The following is a 17,154-nucleotide window of genomic DNA, read 5'->3' as shown; positions in this document are numbered from 1 at the left end:
TCCCCTCCTGGTGTCCCTCTGATGACTCCCCTTACTCTCCCTGAACACTCCTCTGTCTTCACCTGTCCATTAAATATTGGTGTTTGTTCAGCTTTCTGTCCTCTACATAATTCTCTATCAATAATTTTCTAAGTGAGAAGAGACCCCCTCAAAGGGTGCATCAGAACTGGAGGGGGAAGGAGAGGTAGAGGTGTAATTTTAAAAGCCTTTTTAGCATTATAATACAATTTAATACTTGTAAACTTGACAAACTAGATATGAAAATTAAGATAAAATTAAACAAAGTATGTTTATGTTCAAAGAGGTTGAAAATGAACTTTAAAGGGCTAAGAAACGTGATCCTGCATATGTCTTACTACTTCTAAATGATTTTATCTACATTCTTGGCTTCCTCTACACCAGTGGTTCTCAACAGAGTTGGTTTTGCCCCCCGCTCCCAGGGGACATTTGCCAATGTTTGGAGACACTTTTGGCTATTACAACTGGAGAGGGCTTCCCCTGGCATCTATTGAGTGGAGGCCAAGAAAGCTGCTAAATGTCCTCCAGTGGAGAGCATAGCCCCCCACAACAAAGAATTATCTGGCCCCCTGTGTCAATAATGCTGAGAATGAGAGCCTTGCTTCACTCCCTATATGCTGATGACTCCTCAGTCTTTATCTCCGGCCAACACTTTTCTACTTAACTCTAGAAAGATACATTAATATATTTATCATATATAATATATATAATATAATGATAGCTACCTACTAGGCATTTCCACTTCAAAACTTTTTTTTGGCAGGGCACAGTGGCTCATGCCTGTAATCCCAGAACTATGGGAGGCCAAGGATGTCAGGAGTTTGAGACCAGCCTGGCCAACTTGGCAAAACCCCATCTCTACTAAAAATACAAAAATTAGCCAGGCATGGTGGCGTGTAGTCCCAGCAACTCAGGAGGCTGAAGCAGGAGAATCACTTGAACCTGAGAGATGGAGGGTGCAGTGAACAGAGATCATGCCACTGCACTCCAGCTTGGGCAACAGAGTGAGACTCTGTCTAAAAAATAAAACACACATACGCATATTTTTTTTTCTAAAACAAAATTCACTTATTTCTCCCAAATGTACTCTTCTTTCTCTAAGATCTACTAAGACAAAATCCTTCAAATTAATGTATCTACCATTCCCATCCAATCAATAAAGTTCTTGCACGTTTCTTTTCCTCTTGCCAATTACTAGCAGTAGAAAACCTTCAGGCAAGTCATTTAATTTCCCCATGCCTTGGTTTTCTCAACCATAAAATAGGAATAATAATAGTACAACGGCCTCCTAGTTATAAACAACACAAGTTTATTTCTTATAGCTCTAGAAGCTGCGAAGTGCAAGATCAAGGTGCCAGCAGACTCTTTGGTGAGAGGTCGCTCTCTGCTTCTTAGATGGTAGCTTCCGTGTCCTTTAATGGCAGAAGGGCTGAAACAAGCCTTTAACTAGTCATCCTGCCTCAGTCTTGCTCCGTTCCAATTCATCTTTCATAGGGTTTTCAAAAAGATTTATCAATTGTTCATGAAAAGATGTCATTTAGTGGTCACTTGCACCCTGCTAAACTTCTGCCACCATCACAATGAAGATGACAGCAGGGTAGAGTTGTATCATGGTGAGAAATGAACTTCCATTCTTTGTGCTGAAATGGCTCAAGAAATTTTCAGCCCTCTTCTGCAAAACTTTTCTTTTAAAGAGGTAAAAGGTAACGGATTTACCTATGGAAATTGACCTGACATTCATATTATTGGCAGTGATTTTGATAGCATGCAAAAAAGTAAAAGAGGAGTTTCATAACACTTCTACTTTCAATCCTCTTCCTTTGACACTAACTGCTTTCCTCATTAATATTACGGTTGTATCTGAGTTGGCTTATGAGCCTTCTGAAAGTGATGTGTCAGAAATTACTACTGAGATGGTGAAAAGGTATTTAGAGTTCCATTTTTTAGGTTAGAGGTTGTAATGTCTAAAAGGTTTTCTGTAGAATGCATTATTAACTTGTTTTAGAAGAGTCATGCTTCAGTGACCTTCATAACTGTATTCATTAATCTCCCAAATATACATTACAGATTTTCTCAAATAATACAAAATATATTTTTGGTATAATCATTATTGAAATATAATATTAAAAAAAGTTCCAGCCTGACAAACATGATGAAATTCCATCTCTATTAAATAAAAATTAAAAAATTAGTCAGGCATGCTGGTGTGTGCCTGTAGTCCCATCTACTCTGGAGGCTGAGGCATGAGAATCACTTGAACCTGGAACATAGAGGTTACAATGAGCCAAGCTTGCGCCACTGTACTCCAGCCTGGGCGACAGAGCAAAACTCTGCCTCAAAAAAAAGAAAGAAAAAATTAAGACATCATTTGAAAAGTTAGTAGGAAAGCCACAGAGTAGGAGGAATATTTGTAATAGGTATATTTGACAAAAGACATATCTAAAATACATAAAAAACTATTAAAAATCAATGAGAAGATAAGCTAATTCGTAAGTGTGCAAAAGCCTTAAACAGAAACATCATAAAAAAGGATATCCAAATGACCAAATAAGCACATAAAAAGATAATAAGTCACTACTTATCAGGGAAACGCACATTAAAAACACAATATCACTGTATACCCACCTGGGTGGCTAAAGTTTAAAAGATTAACAAGACCATGATATACCTCAATTAAAAACAAACAAGAAAATCTCAAATTGCCTAATAGGTTAGATCACCACCCTACTCAAAATTCTTCAATGATTTTACATTGCTTTCAGGATGATATTAAACCCTTCAAAGTGACATTCAAACACTTCGGGATGGCACATAGCATCTGAGAGTGTATGTAATATCACAGCTGCCCCACGGCACAGGATGCTATGTGCCATACTGAAGATTCCAGCACCTAGAGTCTTGAGGTATATTGCGGTCTTGTCAGATTCTGCCCAATCCTATTCTTAACTTCCCCAAGCTTGCCATGCTATTGCCATGTTTGAGCCCATGCTGCTTTCTGTGAACAAAGCTATCTTCCCAACTCATACTTATCCTTCAAGATCAAACTCCTTCTCCATAAAGCCTTCCATGAGTTACACATAGCTAAACTGTTGTTCACAAGACGAAGGGTCGTCTACGAGTCGCTGACTCTCCGGGATCTGCCCTACTTTCACAAGGACATGCCCCATTTATGAACACACGAAGCACAGTGTGCCATATTTTGGGTACCTTGACCTGAGGAGAATGTTGTAAATGGATTTGTTTTATTTCTTCTGGGCTTAGAAATGTAAACTGTTTGCTGTTCTCTACTGCCCTCTGTTGAAACAAAAGTGGACAATATACATCTCTTCTGCAGGACGAAGGAATCCAGTTTACAAGGAAATGAAAGAGAGATCTGAGTGGTTTAATGCAAGAAACAGCCAACTAATGGTCTAGGGGAGTGAAATTAAGAGTCCAGAGCAGGCCGGGCACAGTGGCTCACACCTCTAATGCTAGCACTTTAGGAGGCCGAGGCGGTGGGGGGAATCACCTGAGGTCAGGAGTTCAAGACCAGCCTGGCCAACATGGCAAAACCCTGTCCCTACTAAAAGTACAAAAATTAGACGGGCATGCTGGTGGGTGCCTGTAGTCCCAGCTACTCAGGAGGCTGAGGCAGGAGAATTGCTTGAACCCGGCAGGCGGGGGTTGCAGTGAGCCGAAATCACACTACTGCACTCCAGCCTGGGTGACAAGAGCGAGACTCAATCTCAAAAAAAAAAAAAAAAAAAAGAGTCCAGAGCAAAGAGAACCCGGGGCTGCACTTACCTTAAGCCACTTGGTCTGCTCTTCTGATTGAATGTCTCTTGACCTCAGCATGACTTCAGACAGTGGTACTCAGAAAGAAAGGCTTGATTCATTCATCCGCACTCTGGCTTTAGACCCTTAGTGAGGAGGGTGGCATTTGAAGTTGTAGTAGAAAACTAGGAGTTAGATTCTAACACCTACGGTCTGCAACGCAAATGCGTTGGAACCTCCCCATCAGGCCTGTTTTGCCCTTTAACTGTATCAAGTGCATGTGTCTCCAGCAAGGGTAAAATTCAGGAGGGTGGGAACTTGGTCCTAAGCCAAACATGCTGAAGGATGCTGGAAAATGGTCCTGGGGAAGGTTGAAGCCATCCTCCTTAGTAGCAAGTAAATACTTGACAAGAACATTTGAAGAACTGTGAATGAGGCTCTAACCAATTCAAACTTGCCTCCTTGTCACTGGAAATAGACCTGCTGCAAGGTATCAGCAAATAAGGAGTCATCTCTTTGGCTTCCAGTTAATTTTCTAAAAGCACAATTCAGCTCCAGTCTGTGTCTCTAGCTCTAGCCCAGATTTCTCCTTCCAGTTACCCAGCTGATATTGACCACTCTCCTGCTATGTCCACAGGCACCTCAAACGCAGAATATCCAAACCTGAACTTACCATCTCTCCCCAACCCCTTCCAGCTAAGCTTCTTTCCATCATATTCCCCACCTCAGGGAATGGCACCTCCTAAAGCAGGAATCTGGATATCATTGTGATTCCCACATTCTCTTTCATAACCCACATCCAATTGTGCCGGTTCTTCTTGCTAAATATCTCAACCCCACCACCATTACCTTAGCCTGAGGCTATCTTCATCTGCCACCATGACTACCGCAAGAGACCAACTCATCTTTCTGCTCCCAGTCTTACTCCTCCAGCCTATTTACAAGCAGCAACCAGAGTAATTTTGTTAAAGTACAAATTATATTATGTCACTTTCCTGCTTCAAATAATTCAGTGGCTCCCCACACCCTCACGACAAAACCCAAACTCCTTAATGTGTTCTGTAAAGCACTGTGATACCAAAAACCATTTACTCCACTGCAGCTTCATCACACTGTCCTACTCTCCTCATACTCAGAATACAACAAACTCTGCTCTAGGGGAGACTCTTTGATCTCAGTATAGACATTTTCTACGCTAGAGGCCTGTTCTGGCATCCTACGATTGAAAGGTTCAAGAATATTTAGCCATTTCTATCTTTAAGGTGCTTCTGCCTTGATTTTAAGTACTAATCAGAAAGGAAAGATACATGGAAAAAAGTCAGCAATGTAAAATAAATGGTTTAAGCACTTCACATTTTTATGTCACTTATTTTATATCTCTTTTTGTTGGGTTCTAAGGAGAGTTGTAAAGAGAGTCAAAAAGCAGGGAGCTAAAAGGCATTAGTAAGCCCCTCGAGCCAGGCAAGTTGTTAAGCAGACAGCTCCTCTCAGAATACAAGCAAATCTGTTTCATAAGGATCATAGAGTGAAACACATGAATCAAGCTATGGATACACAAGAGGATAATAGAATTGAATCTTGAGTAAATTCTCTGAAGGAAGAAAGATTTCTAAGCTTAGGAAAAAATAGAGGAAAAAAAAAAAAAGAAGGAAAGAAAAGAGACCAGGCGTGATGGCTCATGCCTGTAATCCTAGCACTTTGGGAGGCCGAGGCAGGTGGATCACATGAGGTCAGAAGTTCGAGACCAGCTGGCCAACACGGTGAAACCCTGTCCCTACTGAAAATACAAAAATTAGCCTAACGTGCTCACTTGAACCCAGGAGGTGAGTCAAAGGTTGCAGCGAGCGGAGATCATGCCACTGCACTCCAGCCTGGGCAACAGAATGAGACTCTGTCTCAGAAAAAAACAAAAAAAGAAAGAAAGAAAAGAAAAGAACTTCATGAAACTTTTAAATTTCGGAATGATACAAAACTAAAACCAACCAAAAACAAACTACTAACTGCAAACTGGAAAAAAAAATGTGTAAAAATTCATGTCTCCCTGCAAAGGGGTATTTTTATTACATAAGAAATTAATGAGAAGAACATAGAGTTTTGATAAATAGGCAAAGGCAGGGATATCAATAGAGAAACCCAAAAACATTTAGTTAAACAAAAAATAAATATCCAAGAGGGCCAGACATGGTGCTAAGTGCTTTCCATCTAATAGCAACATGAAAGAGGAAATGCAACTGGTTGACAGACACATGGTAAATGTTGACTCCACACTAGTAATCAAATAAATGCAAATAAAAATTATGAGACCCCATTTCTCAGCTATGAAATTGCCCACAATTAAGAAAAAAGGACGTGATTAAATGAACTTGCATATATTTCTGAATAGGGTAGAAATTAAAACAATTGTTTTGGAAAGAGATTTGGAAAAACTATCAAAACCTTGGAAATTCATATACTTATGACATTGTAATTTTGCTTCTGGGAAAATGACCTTTGGAAATATCCCAAAATATACAAAAGCATTGTTACTCTTTGCAGAGCTACTGAATGATAATGAAAATTAGAAACAACCTAAAATATCCAAAATCATGCTTAAAGTAAATTGCTCTGCTGCTACATCAGCTGGAGTCTCTCTGAGCACTGAGAGAGAAGGGTATGAATGAATCAGTTAGGTGGCTTTCTGAAGCAAGTACAGAAAATTCTGCTCAAATGGCTTAAATAATAATAAATGTTTTACTATCTCACATATTAAGTTTCTTGAAGTTAGGGCAGCTCCAGAGCTGTTTAATCTACAATAATGTCATCAGTAACCCAGATTCTTCCCTCTCTTTGCTTTGCTACTCTCAGCATGTCAGCCAGTCTTCTCTGGAAGCAAGTTGGCTGCCGTAGTAGCTCCCAGCATCACATCTTTAAGCATCACCATGTCCAAAGACTGAGAAAGAACTCGTTACTTCCTGAGTCCCAGAATCCCTCTAGCAGATTATCCCTGAGGATTAATTGTCCAGAACTGTATCATATGCTTAGTCCTAAGCATGGCAAGACAATAGAACACCATAATTGGCTTAGAGCAGCAGTTCTCAAAGTGTGGTCCTTGTACCAAGATCAGCATTACCTGGAAACTTATTAGAAATGCACATTCTCAAGCCCCACCAGAATCAGAAACTCGGAGGGTAGAGTAGAGCTCACCAAGTTGTGTTTTTAACAAGCCCTCCAAATGGCTCTGATGTAGCTCAAATTTGAGAACCACTGGTTTAGACTAACCGAAAGTTCACACACTGAGGCTGGAAAAGGTCTAGGCTTCTCTACAGCTCATGACCACAACATTGCTAAACGAAATCAAGTTCCGTTAGCAAAGAAGAAGGGAAGAAATGGCTGTGCAGTAGGCAACTGCCCATACAGGATAAAGTTCCTGTTTTGGTGGCCAAAATGACCCAAATCTTTTAAAAAAAAAAGAAAGTCAAAGTAATACCATTTCTTCCTTTCCACACACCCTCAAATACATTTTTTAAGCATTTCTCCTCCCATTTAATGTGAAATGTGAAAGATGTTGAGTGGAGTTTGCAGTTGTTCGAGACCAGCTGGCCAACATGGTGAAACAACATGGTGTTTATGTATATGTGGAATCATTATAAAAAAGGAAGTTGCAGAAGAATATGCATTATGTAATATGCTAACAATAACTACAGAAATGAGCAAAATATAAATACATAAAGGTGGATGTGTGCTTATATGAATATAAGTGTATGGGGAAAGTTCTGGAAAGATATACTACAAGCTTCTAAGGGGTTACCTCTGAGGAAGGGAGTGAAATTGGGGGAGGGAGTCATTAAATCTCACTGTTACTTTTATTTTATTTACGTCCGAATTGTTTCACTTATTTGCAACAAGAACATATATAGATCACGCGTGTATTTTCAAACCAAAAAGTGCTTAAAGCCACAATAACAAAATATTGGTGAAAGGGACAAGGACTGAGTCTCTAGGGATGGTTCTGAGCTCTGCTCATACTCCCAATGATGTTGCCAACCTTTCTCTCTTCTCCAGTGGGATGGCACGGATTAAAAACAGAACAACACAAAACAGTATTTCCACTTCTTTTTCAAAAACTTTTTCAAAAACTAAGTTTTCTTTTTGGTGTTACCTTGTATTGTTCTGGTAGATTCTGAAGATTTTGCACATGAGCAGAAGCATGAATTTAGTTTTTATAATTAACTTTTAACTCTTAGAAGTATAATTTGCTAGCTCTGCTAGAAAATCCTTTTGGCTCCCAAAAGCTGCCTTCATTAGGATTTTTAGAAGACAAAGGCTACTACATTCTGCAATATCTAGAAACTACCACTGGAAGGCAACATTCAGAATTAGAGAATATTTAAGATGGAAAGAGTTAGATATAATCTAGCCCAATTACCTCACTTTGCTATGAGGAAACAAGTTTAGGGAAGAGAAGTGGCTTGACAACTGACCCCTGTTAGACTGAAACCAAAACTGAGATTTCCTTCCTCCTTGACCAGTATCCTTCCCATAACACATCGCCATCACTCTCTTTTTGAAACTTTAAAAACTTGCAAGTCTGGGAGGCATCTAAGCATGTTCTGATGTGAGATAGCACAAGGCAGGGCATTTAAAACTCACTCTTGGCTATAGCATAAAATTTTGGAAAGTTCTTGTATGTCAGCAGGTCATATTATTTTAATAACCACAGCCAACGCCAACAGGTGCAGCTTAAGGTCATCCCACAAAATCTGCTTCAATCCCATGTGCTTTTTTTCCCTTGTTGTCTGTCTATCTCTTCCTGGTTTTGTGAAAGTGTTCTCTCCTTGTCCCATGACTGCCTTTGTATGATGTATCTCGAGGTGTGTCTGTTTCCAGATCTCTCAGTAGATGCCTTGCTCTTCATGCATTTTCCATCTATTTTTAAGACACCATATTTGTAAACCTGGGTGTCTCTCTCAGTTTTTTGTGGGGTTTTGTTTTGTTTTGTTTTTTACTGTCCCAGTAACTGTGTCTTTCTGAGTTTTCTCTCACTGGTTTTCCTCTAAGTCCCATCCCATTTTGTGTCTTTATGTCTCTAACTCTGCCTGTTCTCCTCCCTTTTCTTTTATATTGACAGTTTCCTTTCCTATTTCTTTTCTTCACTTTACTAGACACATAATGGTGAATATTTTGTTTTGTTTTGTTTTGAGACGGGGTATCGCTCTGTTGCCCAGGCTGGAGTGCAGTTGCACGATCACAGTTCACTGCAACCTCCACTTCCCAGGCTCAAGTGATCCTCCCGCCTCAGCCTCCCAAGTAGCTGGGACCACAGGCATGTAGCCCCAGGCCTGGCTTATTTTGAATTTTTTTAAGAGATGGGGTTTTGCCAGGTTGCCCAGACTGGTGTTGAACTCCTGGCCTCAAGCAATGCTCCTGCCTCAGCCTCCCAATGTGCTGGGATTACAGGTATGAGCCACCATGCTGGGACCATGAATATTTTTTATTAAATAATTTTGATATCTATTGTATTTAAAGCTCAGAGCTAACTATATTTTGTTATTAATATTAAAATAAGCAAGTAGAAGCCAGGCAGTAGTGCTGGCTACTCAGGAGGCTGAGGCAGAAGGACTGCTTGAGTCCAGGAGTTTTTTAACCCAGCCTGGCTGACACAGTGAGACCTCATCTCTAAAAAAGAAAGCAAGCAGAATATTTTCTTAAAAGGCAATTATATTCCTTCTTGGCCAGGCCCAGTGGCTCACACCTGTAATCCCAGCACTTTGGGAGGCCGAGATGGGTGGATCACCTGAGGTCAGGAGTTCGAGACCAGCCTGGCCAACATGGTGAAAACCCGTGTCTACTAAAAATACAAAAATTAGCTGGGCATGGGGGCATATGCCTGTAATCCCAGCTACTTGGGAGGCTGAGACAGGAGAATCGCTTGTACCCGGGAGGCAGAGATTGCAGTGAGCCGAGATCATGCCACTGCACTCCAGCCTTGGCGACAGAGTGAGGCTTTGTCTAAAAAAAAAAAAAAAAGGTATTTTTTGCCTCTCTGTTGGTACCAATTGTTAAATTCTTTGTGGACCACTGATGCTTACCAAAAAAAAAAAGTGGGGGCGTCATATTTCCTCTAGTTGACATTAAAACACAGTAATTTAGCCAGAGGAGATCTTAGCAAACATACAGTCCACACTCCACTTTCTCATTTCATGATTGTAGAGACTGAGATCTAGACAATTTAATTGGTGGTCACCCTGGGTGACATAGCTAGGTCTAGAGCTCCTGGTCTCCATGTCAGCATTTCTTTCTTCTTCATTAAATGTCAAGTTTCCTCCCCTGTTCATTATTAGCTCCTTCCAGAAAAAGAGTTTCTTATCCTTTTAGTAGGTACTCAGTAAATACCAAGGTATTCACTAGGATGCCTTTGGATGAAGGTAACAAGCCCTGACTTAAATTGGCTTAAACAGCAGGGAAATTTACTTGAAATTGTAAGAAATCTGGGTTGGTTGCGTTAGAAGCTCAGTGATGTCACCAAGACCATATTCTATCCCTCCACTCTGTCCTCCTTGATTTTTTGGCATTGACCTCAGACTGGCTGCCTTCAAAATCTTAGGTTTTGCCAGCAGAACCTAGGACAAAATGAGCCCTTGTTCATGTACAGTGGGAGAGAGAGATCATCTCTCCCAAACATGGCACTCCCCTCTACCAGATTGGCCCTATTTAGGACAAAGTTCCGTCTTCTCCCACTTAACCAATAAAAGCCAGGGGAATGCTACACCCTGAGTGGCTTAGATCAGTCAAGATCCACCTCTGCATATGAGGGTGATTCCTGAATAGAATCAAGGTTATATTAGAAGGGAGGGAGAGGGATGGATATCAGGCTAGTACATCATATTCTATTTGTTGAGTTAACTGAGCATAGCAATTGTTGAGTTGGAAAAAACTCAGAACCTACTGTGGATTCAAGTTCAAGAAATCATTCTTTCCTACATACAACAGCATTGCTCTGTAGCCCTGAGCTAAGAGAGCATCACGAAATACAGTCTTCTTGCTGTTTATAATCGTAAGCAAACTCTTGGACCTGGGAGGGGATGAATGGATAATGTCTGTCTGACTTGCTTCTTTCTAGTTAGTACCAACTACCTCCCTTCTTCCTGTGATTGTTCTTAGAATAGGATAAAAAATTTTCCCTTCCCTAGATCTTACAGTCTCCCCTTCCCCCAGGCCTTTCTATTTTTCAGGATTTTACTCTAATCACACCACCGAAGAATCAAGAAATCTTTAAAGTGTATTAGAGTAGCTAGTTGTGGCAGCACTAAAACACGGCTGCAAATTCTTTGACACTCTCTCCATCAAGAAATGAGGCCTACATCCTCTACCCTTGAATCTGGGTGGGCTTATAACTTCTGGTGATTAGAATACAGCAGAAAGAGAAGCTGTATAGCTCCTAAATGTTATAAAGTCTTAAGGATAGCTGCCAGCAAGACCTTAGGACAAAATGAGCCCTTGTTCACGTCCAGTGGGAGAGAGAGAGAGAGACCCTCTCTCCCAAATATGGCAATCCTCTCTACCTATAACATTTACATAAATGTTATAGGTTAAACGTTCCACAACAAACTAAGTACTATTTAACATCAAGAGGGAAAAGAGACAGGAGAAAGGGTTAATAAGCCTGTTGATGAGGATCTAAGAAGACCAAAGGAGTCCTGGTCTGGGCCTGGCTACCCGTTGGTCTTGCAAAGAAGAGTCTGAGGTGGCAGAGCCTTCAGTGGCAGATGCCAAATTATCATCATGAGTGACTGCAAGACAGTGTCAGCTAAGATAGCCATTTCAAGCTGCTGAAGGCCTTCTCTTTTAGTCATGGAGTCCTGTGATAAGAACTGAAAGTTGGAAGAGTGTGCTTGTCTGTGGCCTTATTTGGTCGGCTGCAGTCTTTATCATTTTTAATTTGTTTCTTAGAACATTTTATCTTGTTGGCCAAATGCCCTATGAAATATAAAATGGAGTCTTTTTCTAAGATGGAGTTAGTTATGTCAAGGGTCCTTTATACAGTCTTCATCCTTTTTCCTGGCATACAACTCCTAAAATCCTTAGAATCTCCAAAGTGATGTCTTTTGGTGTGCTAATGAGGTAACTGATGGCTGGCAGCTCTTAGGTAGCTTCATAACAGGGGCTGGGCACAAGAAAGATCATGGCAAGGTCAGAGGATTGGGGCTTTCAGCTCCACCCTCCAAACTCCCTCTGGGAAGTGGAGAGGGGCTGAAGGTTGAATTGATCACCAATAGCCAATGATTTAATTAATCATTCCTAAGTAATAAAGCTCCCATAAAAACCCAAAAGGACAGGGTTTGGAGATCCTCCAGAGAGCCGAACACAGAGAGGTTCTTGGAGGGTAGTGCACCAGAGGGCATGGAAGCTCCAAGCCCCTTCCCACAGGTCTTGCCCTATGTACTCTTTACTTGTGTCCTTTGTAATATTCTTTATCACAAACTGATAAATGTAAATGTTTCCCTGAGTACTGAGAGCCACTCTAGCAAATTAATTGAACCCAAGATGCAGGTGGTGGGAACCCCCATTTATAACTGGTTGGTCAAAAGCACAGATAAAACAACCTGGGGCTTCACCCTGCAATATCAGAAGTGTCTTGTGAGACTGAGCCCTTCACTTGTGTCACCTGATGCTATTTCCAGTTAGATAGTGTTGGAATTCAATTGAATTCGAGCAGAAGTCCCAATCCCCAGATTTGTAGTTGTCAGTGACCTCTTAGGAACTGGGCTGCACAGCAGGAAGTGAGGGGCAGGTGGGGAGCAAAGCTTTATCTGTATTTACAGTAGATCCCCATGGCTCACATCACCGCCTGAGCTCCTCCTCCTGTCAGATCAGCTGTGGCATTAAATTATCACAGGAGCATGAACCCTATTGTGAAGTACGCATGCAAGGGATCTAGGTTGCGTTCTCCTTATGAGAATCTAGTGCCTGATGACCTGGCATTGTCTCCCATCACCCTAGATGGGACTGTCTAGTTGCAAGAAAACAAGCTCGGGGCTCCCCCTGATTCTACATTATGGTAAGTTGTATAATTACTTCATTAAATATTACACTGTAATAATAATAGAAATGAAGTGCACAATAAATGTAATGCACTTGAATCATCCTGAAACCATCCCCCACCCCCCTACCCCTGTCCGAGGAAAAATTGTCTTCCATGAAGCCAATCCCTGGTGCCAAAAATTTTGGGGACCACTGGATTAGAAGACACCCAGTTGGTGCCCACTGCTGAATTGCTTGCTTGCTTGCTTGCCAGTGGAGAGAAATCCCCACATATCTGTTGTCAGAAATGTGTTGTGAGAGCATAGTGGGAGGAACTGAGTTTGTTTTTTCTACAGTTACAGCAATAGGTAACTGGAACTCAACTGCTGGACTATACCAAAGACTGCCAGGCCAGCCTACCTTTCTCACAGCCTTCCTGACTACTTGTCTTGGATGAGCTCACTGAAAGCCCACATACCTTCATTCTAGCATTTCCTCAGTCTGGTTGAGCTGCTTTGGAGGTAATACAGGTTGTAGGACCTCCCTCCACTCCTGCTCAGGACTGTTTTCAGCAGGCTAATCAGACAGCAGTTGGCACTGAGTACAACTGGAGAAATGTTACCAGCACTGAAGACTGATCCAGCTACAAATCCATAGTGACCCACCTCAGGTGGGCCCTTGGCATTGCTTGGCAATCCTTACAATTGTTTGGAATTCTTGGTAATTCTTGTACATACAAACAGTCGGCTCCTTCTCCCATGCACCACAATGGCCATTCTCAACTCTGGTGTTCTCAAACCCCCACCACAACTGTTACCCACTCTTTCTCGACAGGTGTCTTTGACTCCTCCTTAACCAAGAAAATCAGGACCAGCAGATGTGGATGGTCACTCAACATCTGAAAATGGATTTGCATATGTACCCCCTCAGCCCCTGCCTTCAGCTCAGAGCGAGAGGTAATCCGTATCCAGTTCACAGCCAACTCCCTGTCCATGTCCCATTTCCATCTCCTCAGGACCCACACTTGCTTCTCTAGGTATTCCGTCCCTGTTAGGCATCCAACTTCTCCCACCCTGCTGGCTTCTTCCCAAAGACCTATAACCAAGCTTGTATCTTTCACTTAAGGAAAACAAAAACTCCCATTCTCTTGAAACTACCTTTGCAGAATTGTGTCTGAAACAGTGAGAGAGATCTAACTTAATTGACTCCATCTTGCTTCTAACCTCCAAGCTGTCTTTCCTCATTCTTGGGCATAGGCTGAACTAACTTTGGGAGAAACTTAGTTTATAGTTTGTGGTTTAAAGCAAAGATGATAACAGCCCTTTCCCAGGGCAGACCTCCTTTTTTTCTGAAGACTAGATTGTCTTTGTAGGACTAACATTAGCCACAAGATTGGAAATTATGGTTTAGGAATCATGCAGGTGGAGGCTACAAGATTCTGACCCTCCCTAAGCACTGATCCTAAGATCGGTGCTTGAGATATTTTGCAGACCCTGCACTTGATGGATCACCTGGCAACACCCAGATCAATAAACTGGCTCATCTGATCTTGTGGTGCCCACCCAGGAACTGACTCAGAACAAGAAGACAGCTTCAACTTCCTGTGATTTCATCCCTGACCAATCAACACTCCTGGCTCACTGGCTTCCCCTCCACCAACCAAGTTGTCCTTAAAAACTCTGCTCCCCGAATACTCTGGAAGACTGATTTGAGTGATAATAAAACTCCAGTCTCTGGCTCAGTCAGCTCTGCATGAATTACTCTTTCTCTATTGCAATTCTCCTGTCTTGATGAATCAGCTCTGTCTAGTTACCATCCTCCACTTCTCCTTTCTTATTGTGTCACTTAGGGCTCTGGGTTATAAACAACTTTATCAGAATCCAGATCTTTTAAGTAGAGGAAACAAATTTATTGGATGGAAACTAGAGGAGGTCAGCCCATCCCACTGCTGTGATGACTGGGACCCAACCATCTCCCTCTCCTAGAAGTGAATCTCCCTTATGAGTAAACAAGTGTCTCTTATTCAGGATTCATCTCAGAAGAGACTCTAATGGGCCAAACCTCAGTTATATGCCTGTCCTCTGTCTGCCTGTATCAGTTAGCTAGCACTTTTATAACAAAGTACCACAGACTGGGTGGCTTAAACAACAAAAATGTATTTTCTTACAGTTCTTGAGGCTGCAAGTCCAAGACCAAGGTGTTGACAGGGTTGGTTTCTTTTAATTTTTTAAAAAAACTTTTATTTTAGATTTAGGGGTACGCGTGCAGGTTTGCTACATAGGTAAACTCCTATCACGGGGGTTTGTTGCACACATTATTTCATCACCCATGTACTAAGCCTAGTTACTCAATAGTTATTTTTTCCGATCCTCTCCCTCTTCCTACCCTCCACCTTCAAGTAGGCCCCAGTGTGTCTGTTGTTCTCCCTTTGAGTCCATAGGGTTGGTTTCTTCTGAGGCCTCTCTCCTTGGCTTGTAGGTGTCCATCTTCTCCCTGTATGGGTCTGTGTCCCAACTAATAAGGACATCAGTCATATTGGACTAGAGCCCACCTAATGATTTTATTTTAACTTAATTACCTCTTTAAAGGCTCTATATCCACATATAGTCACATCCTGAGGTATAGGGAGTTCCACATGTGGACTTCAATATATGAACTGGGAGAGACACAATTTAGTCCTTAATAGTGCCCCAAAGTGGGGAAAAGGAAGATCTGGACCCTCGGGTTTCCATAGTAGAAAGCAATCACTGCTTTCTATTAAGTACTCACAGTGGGGCTTCTCCAGGAAGAATGATATGCTAATAAGAAGGGGAGGAGGAAGTGATCCTGGACAGCCAGATGATATGTGCACTATTCCTTCATAATGGAGATTCTGAAGAGGAGAAGCACTTCACTAAACACTATTTCATTCCTACTCCGTCTTCAACCAAAAGCTGTCAAACTTCTGTTTCTCAGCCCCAGCCCCTGAAATTGCTCAGGAAAAGGTCATTAATAGTTCCTTGATTGCCATATTTCAATCAAACTCTTGTTTGAATTATTTCTACACATTAATAGTGTTATTGTTGACTACTCCTTCCTTGAAGATCTGTTCCCACTAAACTTCCTTGTTCCCTCCTCTTCAGCCCCTCCTATACAAACTCCTTTGTCAGCTATTTTTCCTGTGCACGCTTCAAAAATGTTTGCATGTCAAGTTTCTGTCATTGACTCTCTCCTCTTCTCCTCTCCCTCTCAATCCCTCCTTCCTTTCCCTCACTGTTTCCCTTTAATTCTCTCTCAATACTCTTACAGTTTCAGAGATCTTATCCTTACTTTATCTTAACCTAGGATCTCTGGATGGATTCAAATAGAGCTTCTTAAATTAAAGGAAACATAATGTGTATATTTGCATCCTTTCTTGGGAGAAGGCCCAAAGGTTTTTATCAGAGGTTTGAAACCTCAACCGTGTTGGTGCCTCCTAAATTGTGTCTTTTGTCAAGACCTGTCTTCTGAGTTCCAGGGCCATGTGTCTCACTGCCTACTGGAAATCTTCACCTGAAACCTTCACAGCTACCTCAAACTCAATAACATCAAAAGCTGAAATTATTGTCTCTCCCTCCCAAAGCCTGCTCATCTTCCCATTTTTCTTTTGTCCATGAAAGCTACTGCCATCCTCCTTATCACCCAAATTAGAAATCCGAGCATCACCCAGACCTCTCCCCCTTCATCACCCCTCAGCCAATCACTCACCAAGTCTTGTCCATCCTTCCTTCCTAACTTCTCTCCTGGATGCTTCCATTGCATATCCACTTTTTAAACAGAGTGGCTCTTGTCTCAACTAGACTGTTGAAATAATCTTCTAACTTTTCCCTCCACCTTCCATCTCTCTCCCCTCTAACTCATTCCTTGGACTGCTGTCAGAGTACTTTTCATAAAATATAAAACAGATCTTGTGATTCCCCAGTCTAAAGCCTTTTTATTAGTTCCCATTACCTTTTAGAATAAAATATGTACTGTTCATCCTGACACACAAAACTCTTCGTGATAAATACTAATTGAGTGCCTAGTATGTGCCTGCCCTTGTGCTAAATGTTGAGGGTACAGGGGTAAACAAGGTGAACAGGTTCCCTGCTCTCCAAGACCTTTCAGTCCACAAATGCAATGAGTTTACAGAGGAGAAGCACAAGCTCCGAAAGGAGCTGGGGTGGGGTTGGGGGTCAGAACCTAATTTAGAAAATTGAGGAAGGTCTCAACCTCCCATCTTGCACTTACAATAGTAATCAGCAGGTGTGGTACCAAATATGGAACCAACAATTTTATCTGCATTATCTCATTTAAGCCATGAGTGCCATTATTGTTAGCCTCACTTTACAGATAAGGAAACTGAGGGCTAGAAGGTTAAATAAG

The 17,154-nt window shown here is 41.6% G+C and overlaps 1 protein-coding gene across 13 annotated transcripts in view, besides 2 other annotated features; it reads right to left on the bottom strand.

Moving 5' to 3' along the window:
* The window catches only part of FCGR2B (Fc gamma receptor IIb), a 31,412-nt gene extending 27,592 nt beyond the window's left edge, over positions 1–3,820 (bottom strand). For all 13 annotated transcript variants that reach the window (NR_169827.1, NM_004001.5, NM_001386003.1 and 10 more), the window contains exon 1: positions 3,802–3,820. The gene's annotated coding sequence lies outside the window, so the exon portion shown is untranslated. The remainder of the gene's footprint in view (positions 1–3,801) is intronic.
* Positions 3,569–3,628: a silencer, noted in NCBI's record as "silent region_1483". NCBI's record gives its function as "represses an Ori minimal core promoter by ATAC-STARR-seq in GM12878 lymphoblastoid cells {active_cell/tissue: GM12878}" and the evidence as "EXISTENCE:reporter gene assay evidence [ECO:0000049][PMID:35858748]".
* Positions 12,513–12,702: a silencer, noted in NCBI's record as "fragment chr1:161608151-161608340 (GRCh37/hg19 assembly coordinates)". NCBI's record gives its function as "represses an EF-1alpha promoter that drives an FKBP-Casp9 reporter gene in an ReSE screen in K562 erythroleukemia cells {active_cell/tissue: K562}" and the evidence as "EXISTENCE:reporter gene assay evidence [ECO:0000049][PMID:32094911]".

This window comes from Homo sapiens, chromosome 1 (genome assembly GCF_000001405.40).
Source record: "Homo sapiens chromosome 1, GRCh38.p14 Primary Assembly".
NCBI classification, from domain to species: Eukaryota; Metazoa; Chordata; class Mammalia; order Primates; family Hominidae; genus Homo; species Homo sapiens.
The sequence above is the reverse complement of the archived record's forward strand: the minus strand, read 5'-3'. Positions and strand labels throughout refer to the sequence as shown.